The 20,509-nt window shown below is 34.0% G+C and overlaps 1 protein-coding gene across 9 annotated transcripts in view; it reads right to left on the bottom strand.

The window, feature by feature from the left end:
* Positions 1-20,509, bottom strand: part of PDS5B (PDS5 cohesin associated factor B) — a 191,568-nt gene that overhangs the window by 77,191 nt on the left and 93,868 nt on the right. For all 9 annotated transcript variants that reach the window (XM_005266298.5, NM_015032.4, XM_017020452.3 and 6 more), the window contains 6 exons: positions 16,806-16,951; positions 13,544-13,695; positions 12,260-12,373; positions 6,525-6,606; positions 3,927-3,975; positions 960-1,099 (listed from right to left, as the gene is read on the bottom strand). In XM_005266298.5, the coding sequence (XP_005266355.1) occupies positions 960-1,099; positions 3,927-3,975; positions 6,525-6,606; positions 12,260-12,373; positions 13,544-13,695; positions 16,806-16,951 (683 nt within the window). The remainder of the gene's footprint in view (positions 1-959; positions 1,100-3,926; positions 3,976-6,524; positions 6,607-12,259; positions 12,374-13,543; positions 13,696-16,805; positions 16,952-20,509) is intronic.

The following is a 20,509-nucleotide window of genomic DNA, read 5'->3' as shown; positions in this document are numbered from 1 at the left end:
AGATTAAGAATCACTGACAACAATAAATATTTTCATTGACTTATAACAGAATAGGATTTCATAAGCAAGACAGCAAAGCCAAACACCATGAGGAAAATACTGACTTACCTAAAGATAGAAACTATGGTATGTAAAGAACATAATAAACAAAAAGAAAGGGTAAACTAAAACTGACAGAAAATTATCTGCAACTTAGCAAATGCCATATGACAAACTCACAAATCAGTAAGATAAATACCATTCTATAAAACTAGGCAAATATTATAAACACAACTTACAAAAGAAATATGAATGGCCAATAATCCCAAGGAGAAAAAAATGGTCAGATGACTAGTGACTAACAAATATAAATACTATCAAAATAATTGTGTTTTTCTTTGTTTTTACTTGGGTTTTGTTTCCAGCAATGATACTGACCAATATTGTTGTGTGTGAGAAAATGGTCACTCTCATTACTGGTGATTAGCATAAAATTAATTCAGTTCTGGAGAACAATTTGCCAAAGCATATTAAAGGCTTTAAAAATGAGCTGTTAGCCCATGCAATTGTACTTCTTAGAATTTATCCTAAAGAAAGAATCAAGACTGTGTAAAAATATTAATTATATTCTTCTTAATAGTAATCAAAAAGTAGGAAAAAATCTAAATGTGTAACTTAGTGGACTACTCAACAAATTATAGTACATGTATTCAGTGGTATGCTATGGAGCTATTAAATACTATAAAAGACTAATTAATGAAAAAGTAAAATGTACAAAACTGTATGTATAATATCTCATTTTAGAAGGACATACACCACAATATTAACAATTGTCTCTATAGAGAAATTATAGTTTATCTGCATTTTTATGTGACATTTTTCAAATTTAATATAATGAATATAAATTACTTTTATAAAAGAGAGAAACAATAAAGAAGATTTGGGGGCTTTTTCAAACATCAGCTCTTTTCTCTCCTTACCACACAACCTTCAGCCTGCTTGCAGGAGCATGTTGGACTAACAAGTACTTCTAACTGCTTTCTTATTTTCTCATCATCTTCTAACACCTGTGTGAATTTCTTCATGAAATCCTGAGCCTTACCAGGATCAGGTAAATTTCCTTAAAATAAATTAAAGTTCAATTAAAATCAATTTTTTTTAATTCTTAAAATAATAATAGGTCAATATTTTTCATTCCTTTTATTGCCTTAAAATCCTTACGTACAAATTCAGTTTAGTTTAACAAAATAAATTGTGAAAAACCTTCAACAGTCAATTTTCACACATAAAAATATATTTTCTAGAAATATAAAACAGGAGCATTGTGAAGGGACATATATGCAAGGAAAGTCTAAAATGGCTACTTCTAAGTAATCCCTTGTAATATTTAAAGGCATCAAATGTCAACCTGAATAATGCCAATTTTATTACTGTCCCCTTGAGCTTGTTGCATACATTGCTCTCTTATAATTTAAGAGATTAATCACTAAGTTTTACCTTTAAGAACTATTTTCCTGTATTTCCCTGTTTATCATTAAACCAACCCAGAGAGTTTACATATACATGCATGTATCTAGCAGTGATATATACTGAGCAACCTATCCAGGTGTTACTGCTGGGTAAGTCATTACTGCATGGGAAAGAATGAGTCTTTGCAGAATCAAAAATGATTTTTATACTATTCTGCTAATGTGTCTATGTATCAAAATACTTATGAAAGCTAATAAAACGTTGACTGTGGTATCTTTTTTGCCTGGCTTCTTAACTGTTGCAGAGAGCCAGACTAGAATATAGCATCTCCAATAACAGAAATTGTAAAATGGAACTTTGGCACTTTGTGAGGCCGAGGCAGGAGGATCACGAGGTCAGGAGTTCAAGACCACCCTGGCCAAGATGGTGAAACCCTGTCTCTACTAAAAGAATACAAAAATTAGCCTGGCGTGGTGGCAGGTGACTGTAATCCCAGCTACTCGGGAGGCTGAGGCAGAGAACTGCTTGAACCCGGGAGGCGGAGGTTGCAGTGAGCTGAGATCTCGCCACTGCACTCCAGCCTAGGCGACAGAGTGAGACTGTCTCAAAAAAAAAAAAAAGAGAGAACTCTGTGGACTATCGAAATAGTAGTAGAAATTCGAGTGAACCCCAAAATATGAACATAGTAAATGTAGTCTTCAAGTTCACATATAATTCTGAAATCCCATTTTATGTCTTGGTGAGATATTTAAATGACTTAATATAGTTAAGAATCTAAAAATATATTAATCCTCCTAAATACTTCTGTATGACCTTTTCCTGTTTCTGTAATAGAAAAAAATCTGCAAGGAAAGAGAACCACATTATAGTACAACAGATAAACATGATCACTTATAGAAGATAAATGGAATGTTTTTATAAGTTTACATAATAAGCACCTGAGGGCAAGCTGGAAAACTGCTAGTGCAGCACTTCGCAATCTGTGTTCCAAAGACCACTAGTAGTTCAGTGGAGTTTAACAGTGTTCAGGAAAAGGTATTTTTTCAAATAATTTTGGAAAGTGTTATTTTACAGCCCCTTCATAATGGATGGGCATCATAATAAAGGCTACAATAAGGCCTATTATTTCAGAAAAAAAAAGCAAAAGGGGGTAGGGAAAAGAAGGGATAAAGAAAACTCTTTCAATTTAGCATTCTATAAACATATATGACAATGAAACCCCTTTTTCTCACAATATTATTAACAACTGCAGGATACCAGCATTCCTTGAAAACAGAATCTGGGAAATATTGAACTCACTGGAAGAAAACTGATAGGGAAAAAAAAAAAAGAACTTAGGGAATGATCTCTTTTAGGAGACAGTATCCATAGCCAAACTATAAAAAGGTGATAGGCCAGGCACCGTGGCTCACACCTGTAATCCCAGCACTTGAGGCCAGCAGTTCAGCACTAGCCTGGGCAACATAGGAAGACCTAGTCTCTTAAAAAATATATTTTTTAAATTAGCTGGGTGTGTTAATACATGCATGGAATCCCAACTACTCAGGAGGCTGAGGTAGGAGGATGGCTTGAGCCCAGGAGGTCAAGATAGCTTTGAGTTATGATTGTGCCACTGCACTCCAGCCCTGGGCAAAAGAGCAAGATCTCACCTCTAAACATCAAATTAATTTTTTTGTAAAAGGACTAGCACAAAACAACTTGCTTTAGCAAGTTACCCAGGGGACTGGAAAGTAGTTTTCCCAGGACAGAAGAACATTTTGGTCTTAAAGTTCTACTCATTCTAATATTCCCATTACTTAATCCAAAAACCAGTGAGTTAGGTTTACTGTTATCTTCAGTGTCTTAACATTACTTTCATACACATCTTGGAATATTTAGCATCTCAGATCCATCTTAAGATCTCTTCATTATCACCAAGTGGAAGTTCAGCAGAAGTATTCCTCCAGGTGTTTCTGATTATCCCTCTATCCATTTGCTATACACAGTGACCTCTGAGGTGGGAGGAAAAGCAAATGACCTGCAAAAACAGCAACTTTTCCCTACTTTTCCACTGAACAAAGGAGATGTTCCACATAATCCTTTTGCATTTACTGTTAAATGAAATACCATTTTACTTAACATCACCTAAAGCAAAAAAGCAAATTAATATTTTTTCAAAGAAGCTGTTACGTATGTAGTTATTAGGTATATCCTTTATATTTTGGCTTGGAGTGAATTAGCTTCAGTCAGTCACATTAGAGCAAGCAAAACCAAACACAGATTCAGTTTTTATAAGTTTACATGATGATTTCAATAAACTCTTAAAAATAAATTTATGTACTAAATCCTTTCTCCAGCTCTAGCTCATGTAAGACACTAAAGAAAATTTAAAATTCCTATATTATCATAGCCTATAACAAAACTGCATGAAACACTTAAAATTATAAAAAATGTTCCAATAAAAATTACATTTTTATACAGATTTTAAAATAACTTACTTGTAATAACCATCACTTTTGAAAATATGGCCTTGACACTGGCATCTGTCTGTAAATCACACAAAAAAATGCAAAATTAAAATTCCCTAACAAGAAAACTTCATCATACTCTGCAAAAAATTAGACAAGCATAACCCACTAAATGCTGCAGACCCATGCTCTTACCACTACTGTCACCTTCTTCATCTATTTTTATTAAACTCTAGATAAACTGGACAGGAGGTAGAAGTAAACTCCTTCTCTACTTTAATCATGTCTTCCCTCACCCTGTTGTGTTAGCCTCCAAACAGAAATCAGACAGCTGCACTACATTTTGTAACAGGTACGTATTTTGGGGTTTTGTTTTTTTTTTTTAGAGCTGAAAGAACAGGGAAAACTCCTACAATGTTTAGACCTGAGAATTATAAGGCATGGTCATGAAGCTTATGGGGAAGACACTGGAGAAAGACAATTAAGATGTGACTGACACGTAAAAAAGACGTTTCTAAGAGTGTTAGTTACGGGTTGCATCAGGGAAGTGTTATTTCAGTGAATTAATTCATTACATTATACCATATGTAATACATTCATGTACTACTGCATGTAAAGTCATGTATAAAAGACGTTTCTTAGAGTGCTAATTATTCACTGCATCAGAGTAGTGTTATTTTAAAAACCAGAAACAAAAAAAGTCATTGAGCAAGTGTATTTAAAGTACTGAGCTAAATAAACATTGAACTGAAAGCAATAAATCAAATAAATACACAAAAAGACCATCCCTATTGAGAATGAGCTTGCTAAGAGGAACTGAGAGTTAAAGCGTAATAAAGTTCAAGAATTAATTCCCAACTATTTGGAATTTAAAGCATCTAACAGCTGTCTAGAAACATGTAAGATTTCTATTGTTGCTGTTTTATTTGGGGGGAACAAAGCGGTGCTGGGCTATCCTCCTCCATTCTGTTACTTTTTCAAAACCATCACACATGAATGAGAACTCCATCTTTACTGTGGATAACTGGGTAATTATTTTAAGACAAGCAAAAAGAAAATTCCACACTGTAGAAAAGAACTAAAACATTCTAGCTGAATTGAGACTGTATCTAGTGATTTCATGTATGACTCAGCAGGAAAGTCTAAGACCCTCCCAATTTTTAACAACAGGCAAAATGAAGAAGCTCCAACTAAATACATAAATTTTAGAGGAACAGTGAGAATCAAAAACAAAGTTATATTTGATTACAATCTCACACATCATGCTGTTCAACATATGATTTATACACTTAACATACTACCTGGATGTTATTATGATTTCCATAATGCCTAAACACAAATAATTTTATATACATGTAAGTAAGAACATCTTAAAATTTTAATAAACACTCTTACATCTCTGGCCAGAAGGAGGTAAATATACAGAGCTCCAAGTAGCAAAGAGAGGCACTTTATCCAGAGATTATTAATGAAAACACACTAACTTACATTATGACACTAACTGAAACATGCTTATTGGCTAAACATACTAATTTAACAGGGTTTAAGAAAAAGGACAGCAAAATCACTCAGTTTTAAGTCATTTATTTTCAAGGAAAACATATTTTAACAGGTTCGATAAACTCAATAATCACAGAAAAAAGGTTATGTTCAATAAAACACAAAGAGGTCATTGTTAACCTATAAAACAAAAATACTACTCAAATGTGAGCTTCAATTAGGCAAAAAAGGTGGTACAAAATGTCTTATTACTAGTGATCTGAAGGTTTAAAAAAATAGTGAGAGGGTCACTATAAACCACTCAAATGGTGTGAGTTTTTTGATTTGTAGAGCAATTGGTGAATTTATGCCTAGGGAAAAGGTGAAAGTTTTCACCCCTTAGATGAAAACAACACTGCTCCATTGACCTCTGTCCTATGAAGTGTATGTGTGGAAGGGAGATTGAGAAAAAGCACTCTAAACTGAAAAAGAAAAAAGAATACTCTTGTTTTCCCTGAAGGCAATTTAAAATGACCAGGCGCACTGCTTTTTAGATGAATTATGCCTTTTACATGTCTACATACAGCATTTCAATGAAAAAAAAAAAACCCTAGAATCATTCTAAATGATTGATAAAAGATAAAATATGATACATCCAATGGATGAATACCATCATTACATTATAAATACTAGGTAGTACATTAAAATCTTCATAAATATTAAGTAAAAACATCAAGATACCTAACTTTAATTACATAATTATTGAAACTTTCTAAAACCACAAGCATATACAAAAAAGTAGGGAACATCTTAGAGTGGCAACATAAAGTGCAATTTCTTTCGATTTTCTATGCTTTCAATAATGCTGAGTTATTGTTACACCTTTATTTTAAAGCTACCAAAAAACTTTGAGTACACAGACCCACACTCTCTGTAATGTTGGGTATTACCTTTTGCAGATATAAACATTTATCACTTTCTATCTAATAAGTTTCTTAAAAATTCAGAGTTTTCTAAACAAGGAATCCTAACTTCTACAATCAGAACTTTTGCAAACAGAAAGAATTGTTTAACACATAGCAGCAATGGTAAATAGTAATTAAAATACATGTGTTTTAAAAAACATTGAAGGAAAAAATTCTTACTTACTTTGGGTTGCTTAATCAAGTCAAGCAAATCCTTTACTTGATGTCGGAGCAGATTTTGACATTTCCACATTTCATTCAATGCTCTGAAAAACACAAACATACACATTTAAATAACAAAACAGAATAAAAATCTTTCTAGAATATTACTACTATATAATTTAAGGTTCAAATTATAAAAGGAGATGACAGAGATGAGATGAAATTCACAGGACTAAGCAACTGATAATGTGTAGAGGGAAAGAATGGAATCAAATATAACACAGCAAGATCAAAAGAAATAATCAGTGGTCGAATTAGGGTAGGAATTAACTGGAGAAATTATAAATTTGAGAAATAAAGGAATAACTGACAGCGTAAGGTGTTGTAGCAGGAAGGATGAAATGGAATCAAAAACATAAAAAGAAGAATTAGTTATGAGAGAATGGGGATACTTTTTCTTAAGACAAATCTTATTTAAATTGTAAACAGTCTGGAATTATTTATAAGTGAATATTTTTATATGTCAAAAACTCTGATGTTCTCTTAATAGTTGTATTGTTCTCAGGCAGAAATTTAAATCTAAAAAAATCATACAGGTACTCGATATATAAGCAACAATATTGTATTATAATGTCGTTTAATATATTATAATATATAAATAATATTAACATATAGAGAATAATTAATGAAACACTTGGTTACAGATTAGAGCCACACAATTAAAAATTTTTAAGGAAATCTCCAAAAACAAGGAAAACTTTTCATCAGTTTGTTTTCAATTATTCTACACTTCTATTAACCTCTATTACCATACATATGAAGCACTGCCAAAAAGCAGTAACACAGAGGCATATAAGAAACTCTTTTTCTTTTAATAGACAAAGAACATCGTTTAATATTTTAATTCTGCCCTTTAACAATATGTTTGAAAAATGCCTTTGGATTTTTTAAAGGAGATAAACCAGTTCAAATTTGGGACACCTGAATTCCTTTATAGTAGTCACGTCAAAATGGTACTGGCAAAAGCAACATTATTAGGACATTTTCATCTTAGAAGTTATATTTTAAATAGCTATACTTTACTAATTTAAAGTTACTAAGTTGTATAAATTTTCATAAGCACAGTTCAAGAATATAAACATTGAAAGCAAAATGTTCATACTCCAGAGGACTAAAAATCTAACAAGAGTTGTAAGATTAAAATAATTTTCAAAGAAACGGGGTAGTCATTTGTAAAATTACTTCTGAACTCCAAAGTCAATGTATTCTCTCTTTCCTATATGCTCAATCATTCTAACTTCTGAAAGGCCTAGATTTTGAAGCTTACTTTCACTTAAAATAAAAGGGAAATTACTCATTAAAGATGAAATGTCAAGCTATTTTAAAGCCCATTATAAACCTGTTATGGCTATAGCTTAAATAAAATAAAAAAGTGACCATCTCTAAGAACTTGTATTATAACATGTTTATAGGAACTATCCTTTCAAGTATTTTAATAAAATTGTATTAACCAGCAAGGCAATCTGTGCCTGTTTATTGCCTTTATAAATAATTCTCTAAAAAAGGGAAAAAAGTTATACTAGGAAAAGCAGTATTACAATAGGAAAAATCTCTATTTAATATTAGTCTGAATTGCAGTTCTGTTGCTAAGCAAATGTAAGAACTCCAGTTACAGCCTGGATATTCTTATATTTGTTACCTGACATTTTAAATAGACAATTAGTTCCCACAAATCTCCTTGTTACCAAACCACAAGTTTGCAGCAACTCAAAGAAAAAGACAGCTACCATCAGGTTTTAGTCAGTGGCCTGTCCAAATGTTGAAGAGGACCTGTCCTCTAACCTTTAGCTCCCAACTGACAAGTCACCCATCGGACTCTATCTCAAAAAAAAAAAAAAAAAAAAAAAAAAAGGCTTTTTGGACGCAAACTTGTTTAATAAAAGAGAAGATCACAACAAAGACCCCGATACCATCTTCTACTACTGTCGCTAATAGGAGTTCTGGGGAACTTGTGAGAGGTGGAAGTACACACTGTTCTCTTTTTCAATAATCAAGATATTTAGTTTACTTAGGAGCTTATTCAAAAACTGATTCACATAAAAAGTCTGAAATCTAAGAAATACTTTGTCTTCCCCAAAGAAAAGTAGTCAGAGAATAAAATATATGGCTCTTTCAACAAATAAGAGGAATTCTAACCAAACAAGTTCTTACCAGGAACATGCCTGACAAGCAGCTATTTTTAAGTCCCTTTCAAATTAAGTCAAAGTCATATATTCAAATGACTTCAGGACTAGAATGTAATTTAAATGCATAAAGAGGAACAGGTGTTGCAATACGTAGTAGTGGGGAGTGTGGTGAAATCAGAACATTAATGGACCATAAAACTATAAAAGATCAATATTACCTGCATTCAGGAAAATTAAAGATAAGAAAATTTGATACTCATAAGATTAGGAAAAATTTAAATGTCTGATAATACACAGGAGGACGTAGAAATCCATAAACCACTGGTAGGAGTATAAACTAGTATAATCATGTTGGAAAACAATTTGACACTAGTTTACAATGATGAAAAGGCACATAGAAACTCCACTCCTAGCTATATACTAGTGATTATGAACCTTGGTTGCCCATTAAAATCTCCTGAAAGGCTTTTCTAAAAATCAGACTGCCCAGACTACACTCCGGACAAATGAAGTAACTATCTCTGAAGGAGGGACTTAGTTGTCAATTGTTTAAACCTCCCAGGGTGATTTCAATAAGTAGCTAAATTTGAGAATAACTCATATTCATACCTCAGAGAAACTCTTGCATGTGTATATTAAATTGAAAAGTATTTACAGCAGCATTATTTGAAATAGTAAAAAAATAAAAAAGGAAGTAATGCAGACATCCATTTTCTGCATTGACTCAAATTTCTCATATCAAAATAATGGAATAAGATCATGGATTAATGAAATAGTGCAATTCTATAGCACAGTGAAATGAATGAGGTACAGCTATGTATAATATTATGACTGAATCTTGGAAATAGAATAGAAAAAAAGACACACAACACTGTATACACAATTGTTTCTTTCATAAAGTTCAAAAACAAGCAAAAATATATTACTGAGGGATACACATATATACACATACATATACATGTATATGTTAAAAAAAATTTTTAAAGGAAACAAGAAACAAGGGTAGAGGTTACCTCTGGGAGAAGATGAATGGGAGAAAAGTTTACAAGTTGGGTAATAGATTCATAGGTATTTTTACTTTATTACTATGCTTCATAACATATATACGTGATTTCTTTATTATTACATAATTAAAAAGGTAATGGATTTTGGAGAAAACAACCACAGATAAATATAAAGTACTAAAATACTGGTAAGTATAATAGTTGGTCAGCTAATTATAAAAAGCTGGTTAAAATGAAAATCATCTAAAAAATGATATATATGTACCCTAAATATTTTATCTTAAAACAAATAAATATCCATTCATTCACCAACCATTTTTGTAGAATCAAAGCCTTTCCTTTTGAGTACTGGTCCAGATTGGAATTTACTTTTAACTTTTCAATGGCATTATTTTTCAATATATCTCTTGTGAATGGCACTGTTTCACTTTTGAATTCAATCAAATATACTTATCATTTAAGTGATAAGTGATATCTGACATGTTTAGTTTTATAACAACTATACTTTGTGTATTTATTGTTATTTTTCTTGTTTTCTATTTTGTTTCTGGTATTAAAGTTTTCATTAATTATTTTTTGTTCCTCTGTGTTTGGAAGCTATACATTTTAACTGCTTTCAGAGGTGACTGTTAAATGCCCACTTATAACATAGTTAGTCAAGATGTCTGCCCTCACTAACATGACAAAAGAACCTTGGAACACCTTCATACTCATTACTTACCTATTACCTTACATGCTGTTATCTGATAGGACCCACCTGCAGTCAAAATTTTTCACAAAGGCATCAGGCATCAACCAGTCAGAATCATGGGCAGTGCAAGAAGGTCCTGGAGACATTCCAGCCCTGCCCAGGCATGGTAGGACCATAGGAAGGAGGATTCCAGGGACACTCAGGAAATCTCACATAGTACTGCAGTGGTGTATGGTACTGGCTAAATATTGGCCTACATGCTACCTACTTTTTAATCCACACTCCCACCCCTTGCAAATAAAACTGTATTATTACTGTTTTTACAGTCCTTTATTATTTATATTTATAGAAGTGTTTCAAATTCTTGAATCTTATTACTTCTTTATAGATTTAATTTCCTTTCTTACCAAAATAAGGTTATTCTTTAGTAATTTTTTCAAGTAGGACTGGCAAATTCTTCATTTTTGCTTAAAAGTGACATTTCATTTTTACTCTTGAATGACAGTTGGGCTGAGTAGAGAAGTCTAGATTTACTATGATTTCCAATAGGTAGTTTCAAATATGATATAAATACCATATTTCATCCAATTTAAGAGGCCATCAATTAATTTTGCCATGAGAAAAAGAGCCACCAATTAGGCTATGACAAACCAACAATTTTAGGATGTATTTCAATTCCAGAGAAAAGTTTACAAGTAATAAAAGTAAATATGAGAGTAATGTATTTTACTACGTGTAGTGGAAAAAGAACAAGCTTTGGAACCAAGCAGGATTGAGTGCGAATCCTGGCTCCCTCTTATTCCTTGTGTGATTCTGTGGAACTTAACATTTGTGTGATTTATTTCATCATATGTAAAACAGGAAAAATGTCACTTAAACCAGGGTTGCCAAGCTTTTTCTGTAAAAGGCCGGACAGTAAATATTTTAAGCTTTGTGGGCAATCAGATCTCTCTGCAACCTACTTTTCCACTGTAGCACAAAAGCAGTTATACATAATACAAATTCCAGTGCCTGAAATACAGCAGGTAGGAAAAAAAAATGTGTATTTCTCCCCTCTACAACCTTGTCCTCACTATTTCTGTATAAAACATAAACAGAAAATATAATTATTTCCATGGAAGAAATGAAGTTAAAAGTCTCATTAAACAGTGGTACAAATGAAAATTACATACAGCCCCTTAGATCTCTCAAATTTCTCAACATTTAACCCTTAATATTTGTAAACTACATTTGCTGGAATACTAAGGGTCTACATTTCCTAAAACCTAAAGCAAATCTCTAAGACTTCAATTTCCTAACCCTTAGTATGATTCAATTAGACTAGCAATGTCTTTTCCATGTCTAACACACCAATGCCACCTTACCTAAACACCCAAAAGTACTTTCTGAATGACATGCGGTAATAAAAATATATTTGTGCTTACTCTTATGTCAAACTATAACACGGTGCTGCTCAGGCTATGCAGCACAAAATCTGCAGCCTACTGCTCTCCACCGTAATGCACATCAGTACACCAAGTGAGAATAAAAAGGTAGTATTTTCATAATATGAATGTTTCTAATGCCTTAAGGAAAACAAATAAAAAAGAATAGGTACATCAACGTTTCTTGAGACACCAACAATATGAATAGAAAACTCAAATCCTAAAAGATTTCATGTCAATCAGCTCTATTTTTCAATTGCTTGTAATGGCTTAGTCTCATGTTTAAAGTGGTACTTTCTGAAAAAATAGCCAAGTACTACGACATAACCCTTTAAACAATGTTTACACTACATAGATTACATTTTAAAATACAGGTGTTTGTAGTTTCTTTTCCATAAAATCCAATATATTGCAAAGGATGAAAAGAACAGAATTTGATATTTGAAACATACTTCACAGCATTTAAATCCAGTGTGGCATACAAGTAATATAAGCATTTCATCCGTTCTGTAGTTTCTAAATTGTGAGGAACCATGTATTGAGCAAAGATCCGTTCAACAAGTAGTCTACAAAAAAGCAGAGAAGGCATTGTATTGATTTTTTTCTAATGTTCTAAAGTTGTATATAAAATTCTAAAACTATGTAAAGAACATATATTAAAGAAGTTCCTGCCGCTCTAAGTGGAAATGAGATTTCCAAATCAAAACCTTCTATCTGTAGATAGAAGGGGACCAAAACAGGATTTAGCTGGATGTACTGAAAACAGCCCTACACCCAGCTAAGACAACTACCATCTTCAGGATGTTGGGCACATTATGTACCAGGGATTTTTTCTTTATCTGTATAATACAGAGTTTTAAAATATGCCAGGTCCTTTCAAATGCCAAGTTCTAAATTTCTAAGTCAAAACTAAAGAAACTCTTAAGATTCTTTTGCATTTTCATAGGCATCATCATGAAAACAGACCTGGCTAAAAGTACTAAAAAAAAGTCCTACAAAATCATAATGTAATTCTTTGTGCACTGATGCCATACCCTCAAGAAGTACAACTTCAATTTTATAAAAACAACTATAAAGTTTCATAGATAATCCAGTTTTTAGTATCTATGCCTCTTAAAATTTTAGTGTGACCTGCTTCTTAATTTTCTCATTCTGATCTGCTACAGGCAAAATCATTTGGTCTCCACTAATAACCTATCAAATCATTTCAGACTATAAGCAGGATTTAGAGCTCTATTAACTAATAAATGACTGCAGTCCATACAAGATCTAATCTTAGCCTGGAATGGAAAAAATATTAAGATTATATTCAGATAATGTGTTTTTTATATAAATTTATAAACTGTTTTTTAGCCTTCAGTAGAAATTGTTTTTAAATGTGTAAAATTCAACAGCTTTTTAAAGTTTTCTTTGAAAAAAATTAATGAAGATCCTTGTAACACAATTACCTATGAACTAAAATTATAACTATTACACATACCTATTTTTAGATATGACTGTTCAAATACAGTATATGAAAATGGAACGTAAAACCTGTACCCATCCCTAAAGTTATATGTACATTACTGCTTCATTTATGGCTTGGGTGGGAATGAGCCCAGTCACTCACTACCATTACCTTGCACTAAAAACTGAGGAAGGAGTGTAAGGTCATAAAGAAAATAGTTTGCATAAAACAATAAATCAAGTTATATAACATTCAAAGTCACCAAATATTTATAGTGTCCTTAACTTACCGATCATCAATACTATTTTGATAATATATATGTAGCAATTTGTCTTTGATCCATGCTATCTGTTTTGCAGCATCTTTTCCAGCTGCTGACTGTAAAGCATATTTCTTATAAATTTGGGCAAGTCCCATCATGGCTTCTTTGCGTACTCTCCACTTAAAAACAAAAAGTTTTATTTATAATGTAAAAAGGCTTCCATTATATAAATTAAGGAAAGTCTAGTTTCCTAGTTTTGTGTTTTCCTTCCCTTTATACATTTTTTTAAGTCTCAGATACTAAATATCAATTTATAATTACTACATTTATTAAAAAAAAACACAACTATCACATAAATATTTCTACCATGTAAAGTATGGGAGAAAAATCAACATGTGTAAAGAACTTTAATGCTTTAATGTCTTAAACCTATCATCTATGCCTGAAAACAAAAGCTAATCATACTCTACATACTGTGACTTAAAATTGGTGAGAAAAACAAGCTACCAAAATTTTTGTTCATGCATTTTTAGAGACAGGATCTCTGTTGCCCAAGTTGGAGTGAAGTGGTGCAATCACAGCTCACCAAAGTCATGAACAACTGGGCTCAAGCAATCCTCCTACCTCAGCCTCCAGAGTAGCTGGGACTACAGGCATACAATGCCACACCTAGCTAATTTTTTATTTTTGTTTTTTGTAGAAACAGGGTCTATGTTGCCCAGGCTGGTCTCGAACTCCTGGCCTCAAGCAATCTTCCCACCTCAGCCTCCTAAAGTGCTGGGATTACAGGCGTGAGCCACTGCAGCCAGCTCAAGAAACCAAACATTAAAAGACAAAGACAGAATTAAATGGATAAACCCCCATCCCTCATAATTTTTTTCTAATTGTGGTCTATATTGAGCATACTTACACTATTACAAATAATAGTAATTAAGATGTATTAAAGGCATATATGATATTGGCTTTATCAAATGCTGAATGTAAAAATACTTATCAGTGGTCCATTCTGTACATCTGGGACTGAGTTGAAGTATAAGGGAAATGTATTCAACTTTTTTTAAAATAAGTGTATATTTGTTACAGTGCATCTGGCATTAATTATCTTAGAATAAGTTCATTCTTTAATTTTACATAAACACAGCACTGTAATCAAAAGGAAGCTGGTAATGTTGAAAACATCATGAATCTGCAGAGATTATTAATTTTTTCCTTCGTGGTCCTTTTTCTTTTGCTATGGTCTGTCATTCATAGCAACAAATTATTCCTTGGTTTTTCTTTCACTTAATTACAGTATATTAAGAATAGTTCTTATCTCATTCATCCACCAACTACATATTGAAATAAAAGACTTCTACAGGTCTTATAAGATTTCAGGCCAGTCATGGTGGCTCATGCTTGTAATCCTAACACTTTGGGAGGCCGAGGTGGGAGGATGGCTTGAGACCAGGAATTCGAGACCAGCCTAGGCAACATAGTGAGACCCTGTCTCTAATAAAAAAAAAATTGGCCAGGCATAGTGGGATGTGCCTGTAGTACCACCTACTCAGGAGGCTGAGGTGGGAGGACTGTTGGAACCCAGGTCAAGGATGCAATGAGCCGTGATGGCACCACTGCACTCCAGCCTGGGTGACAAAGGGAGACTTTGTCTCAAAAAATAAGTAAGACTTCAATTTGTTTATAAAAAGTTTGTATCTCTAACTCCCCATGTTGTATCTAACTCTTAATTCCCTCTTCTTCAAAGAGAATTTAAAGATACATCATATTCTAATATTACCAAGAACATGTATATAGTCAATTATTTTTCAGTGCTCAATTTTTATATGAATGAACCAAGCAACCATACAATATAACATGATGATCAAAAATATACATTATGATCCCAACAATACACAAAAACAGCTCAAATTCTAAGTCTAGCTGAGAAAAAAGGTATTTAGAAGGCTACTATCCTATGAACAATGCAAATATCCTTTCCCTCTTCATGCCTTTTGGCCCTTTTCACTAATTAATACCACAACGAAATATTCAATAAAGATTAGTCTAAATTTATCGGTTAAAATAAATTGTTCTGGATACCTATAGATTTGAAGGGAAAACCATGTGCTTCTTGCCCATTTATCCTCCACGCACAACCAGCATTATCAACGAGAGTATTAAACAAGGGAGATGGCATGATCAACCCGTTACAATGTTTTTTTTGAGACGGAGTCTCACTCTTGTCACCCAGGCTGCAGTGCAGTGGCACAATCTCAGCTCACTGGAAGCTCTGCCTCCCAGGTTCATGCCATTCTCCTGCCTCAGCCTCCCGAGTAGCTGGGACTACAGGCGCCCGCCACCACAGCCAGCTAAATTTTTGTATTTTTAGTAGAGACGGGATTTCGCCATGTTAGCCAGAATGGTCTTGATCTCCTGACCTCATGATCTACCCGTCTCAGCCTCCCAAAGTGCTGGGATTACAGATGTGAGCTACTGCACCTGGCCTACAAAGTTTTAAAGAATTTACCTAGTCAAAGATATTCCAACAACCAATAGGCAGGCCTCCCACTTTCTTTGATAATTAGCACTTAAATAAGTCAAAAAGTCTCATCCTTCACCAAAATTACTCTTATGCCTAAATGAGGCTTAGATGCCATTATGGCAATCAGGAGGGGAACAGAATGAACATTCATTAAAGTATTTCCTGAGTGCCTAATATATTCCATGCAGTATGAAACACAAACATAACAAGATACAGTCCTCTCAAGTTCACTGATTAATGAGTGGAGCTAGTGGGTACTCATTCAAAAAAGCTGGCTTGAGGACACAGAAAATAGGCTAGAAGCATGGTGCTCTATCGGGTTTAGCTTTGCTAAGTTGAAAACATCTTTCATTTTCTATTCCATGTTGATTATAATACAACCAGCTAGACAACTACCAATTCATACCCATATAACAACAGCCCTGAAAGAAGAAAGAAAAAGAAGAGTCAACAACATAAGAGAAGTTGTATCTCAGGCCTTTACAAAAGTCCCTTATCATTAACACTGGTATACAGGATAAACATTGACTACCATTAAGAGCTGTCTTATCTTCAGGATTAGAACAAATATCTTTAATGAAGAAAAACTGATACAATTTAATGTAACAGAAAGTAAACCTCATAAAGGTAATTTTAAATATTAAAATGCCTCCATACCCCTAAAAAAGGCTAATTATATTTAAATATGTATATTTAAATATATTTTCAAATATTGTTAAACTTCAAGTATTAAAAATGAAAACTTAGTAATAATTATTTATTCATACTTACTCGTTTGTCTAATGTTCTCTCTCTCACAAAATTAAGTAAGTGATCATTGACCAGAAGAATATCCTTTTTAGCAGCTGTAACTATTGACACAATAACATCATGTCTAATAGCTTCCTCAGGGTCATGTGACCTCACTTTAAGATACTCTGAAAGATAACATTTTATTACAGTGGAAATTTTAATAACTAAAATATTTTTAAAACACTGCATGATACCCTTGAAAATAAGCCCTAGCAAAACAATACCTACATAGAAGTTTCAAGAAAATTAAGAGCCCAGAAAGAAAGGGAAGGAAGAAAGAAGATTAGTTCTTCAGTCAAAAAAGAGCCTTGACATCCAATTGAGTAATAACAGCCTCCTCTCCATTTGGTAGATTGATAACTTGATTAAGAATTCACTAACCTGGCCAGGTGTGGTGGCTCATGCCTGTAATCCCAGCACTTTGGGAGGCCGAGGCGGGCAGATCACTTGAGGTCAGGAGTTCAAGACCAGCCTGACCAACACGGATAAGCCCCTTCTCTATTAAAAATACAAAATTATCCAGGGGTGGTGGCACATGCCTGTGATCCCAGCTACTTGGGAGGCTGAGACAGGAGAATCACTTGAACCCAGTAGGGAGAGGCTGCGGTGAGCGGAGATCGCATCATTGCACTTCAGCCTGGGCAACAAGGGCAGAGCTCCATCTCAAAAAAAAAAAAAAAAAAAAAATTTTAAAGGCCAGGCGTGGTAGCTCACACCTGTAATCCCAGCACTTTGGGAGGATGAGGTAGGTGGATCACTTGAGGCCAGGAGACCAGCCTGGCCAACACGGTGAAACCTCGTCTCTACTAAAAATACAAAAAAATTAGCCAAGTGTGGTGGCACACAGCTGTAGTCCCAGCTACTCGCGAGGCTGAGGCAGGAGAATCGCTTGAACCCAGGAGGTGGAGGTTGCTGTGAGCTGAGATCGTGCCACTGTACTCCAGTCTGGGTGACAGGGCGAGACTGCCTCAAAAAAAAAAAGAAAGTTTTTTAAAAGGGACAAATAACAAGAGAAGAGATCACAACAAGAGATCACAGGCAAGAGATGTGTCAACAAAATTTTGGCAGATGGACAACAAGTAAATGTCACAGGACAAAGGAAAAGGATGAAACCCAAATGGGAAAGAAAACAATACACAAGCTTATTTCCAGGAAGAACACTGAAAACATTTAAAATAGTTGAAGAACCTATAAGAATGGTTAAAAACAAAAAGACTGAAAACACAAAATGTTGTCAAGGACGCTAAATGACTGGAACTCTCATTCATTGCTGGTACAAATGTAAAACAGTATAACTAATATGGAGACTGTTTTCACTGTCTCTTATAAACATGTATCTACACTATGACCAGCAATTTAATTACTGTTTTCAAAAAGAAATAAGAACATAAGCCCACAGAAATACTTGTATAAGACTATTCACAGTAATCACTATTAATAGCCCCAAATCAGAAACAACCCAGATAACCATCAAAAGAAGTGGGTAAACAAATTATGGTATATTCATACAACGGAATAATAATAAAGAATAAATTAACAAAACAGGATAAATTTCAAAAACATGTTATGTGAAAGCAGCCAGATCTCTCTCCATTCCCCACCCTCAAAAAGAATAGTACACATTGTATGATTCAACATATATGAAATTCAGAAACAGGCAAAACTAACCTACAGAAATAGAAACCAGAAAATGGTGAGAGAACTAACTGGAAGGGGATACAGGGGGACTTTTTGGCATCATGGAAATTCACTCTCTTCAAACATCAAACTGAACACTCAGGATCTGTATATTTTAAGCTAATTACACTTTTTTTAAGTTAAAAAAAAGGAAACTGTAGAACAGACTCTGATATTTTCTCTAAAATATGGATAAATCTGAGTTAGCTGTTCAGGTAGTCATCCAAATACCTTATCAATTAGGATTCACAGAGCTTTCCATATACCCCTGTGGCAGAGAATAATTAAGTGAGAAACTTGTGGAGGCATGTTATCTCTGTATGTCATATCCAAACATTTAAATATTACAATATATACTACTTTATTATAAATGACTTCCCTTTTGTTTCTCCTGTATATTACAAATAGGGCAATTAATTTTTTAACTTTTTAAGTGGATTGTTTTATCTATTCATTTTATTTAAGGATCTCAAAGGGAGAATTACAAATTATTTGCTTAAAAAGGGAGGTACTGGGTCTGATAAGGTTGAGAAGCACTACAGTATAAGGTTCACACGGATAAAGTGAAATGATCCTGCTAGTCAGGAATGAAGCTGGAGAAACGTAAAATGGAACAGGGTATATGGGGTTTAAAAGAAAATAATTGAAGATGTGATTGAAACTACTAAAAAAAAAAATCAAAGCCTCACTTTTTTTTTTTGAGACTGAGTCTTGCTCTATCGCCCAGGCTGGGGTGCAGTGGCGCGATCTCTCGGCTTACTGCAACCTCTGCCTCCCAGGTTCAAGCAATTCTCCTGTCTCAGCCTCCCGGGTAGCTGCGATTACAGGTGTGCACCACCACACCCGGCTAATTTTTGTATTTTTTAGTAGAGGTGGGGTTTCACCATGTTGGCTGGGCTGGTCTCAAACTCCTGACCTCAAGCAATCTGCCCGCCTCGGCCTCCCAAAGTGCAGGGATTACAGGCATGAGCCACCGTGCCCAGCCTCAAGCCTCACTCTTTCAAACAAAAGCAAGGATTGCTTTATTACTCTTATACTTTTATCACTTTATCTAGCAGTGAAAACCTCTGAAACCTGCCATCATATTTCAGCTAGGGGAGAAAGAAAGAATCTTCTATAGAATGAGATACCGCAAGCCCTCATCTGTAACAACAGTGAGTAGAAGTTAAAAAGCAAGAAATGACTGACTCTAAGGCTACTGGGAAACAGGAGATGGGAAGCCAATATGAGCCTAAGAAGGAAACGTATACGTTGGCAGGATATTTCCAGCACTGCCTCTCTCCTACTCAGTCAGTATAAATCCTTTGCGGCCTATGTAACCTAACATGACAGCAAATTCAGTGAAAGAGAAATTCTATTTAGCCATGTACAAATCAAATTGGTGCACACTGCTACACATTATCAACAGCAAAAAAGCAGGGGTCTGGTTTTACTTAATAACTGAAAAACATGATTTAAATATTTCAATAAAAAAAATTCAAAATCAGCCTGGGCAACAGAGTAAGACCCTGTCTCTTAAAAAACAATTTAAAAATCACAACTAAGCAACCAACTCAATATACACTACACTCTTCAAAAGGCATAGGAACTAGCAACAAGAACTTCTGGATCTTAAAACAAGGAAGAGAAGGAAGGACTGGGTGAAGGCTGTTTGAGAAATCCATCAAGGAGATTGCCCCTATTCCACACCAAAAGAAGTCTGGAGATAAATACTATAATAAAAATATAAAACAGTAGCTCTAAACTGGGGGACCCCAAACGGTTGAGGGCATGGATACCATACCCAAAAGGGGATTATGTGACAACTAATCTGAAATGTGAATGCAGAAACCCATCATTCTTTTCCCAAACACATTAGTAACTCACCTTTAACTTCTAGATAAGATACTCTTCTATTAGAAATTTGACAGGATGAAGAGGAAGTATCTAAACTAAGGGCTCCCCAACAAACAACTCACTCTGATCACCCAAAAGTGAAGTTCAGAGTTGACAGACCCAACCATGTA

Source organism: Homo sapiens, chromosome 13, assembly GCF_000001405.40.
Source record: "Homo sapiens chromosome 13, GRCh38.p14 Primary Assembly".
Taxonomy (NCBI): domain Eukaryota; kingdom Metazoa; phylum Chordata; class Mammalia; order Primates; family Hominidae; genus Homo; species Homo sapiens.
The sequence above is the reverse complement of the archived record's forward strand: the minus strand, read 5'-3'. Positions and strand labels throughout refer to the sequence as shown.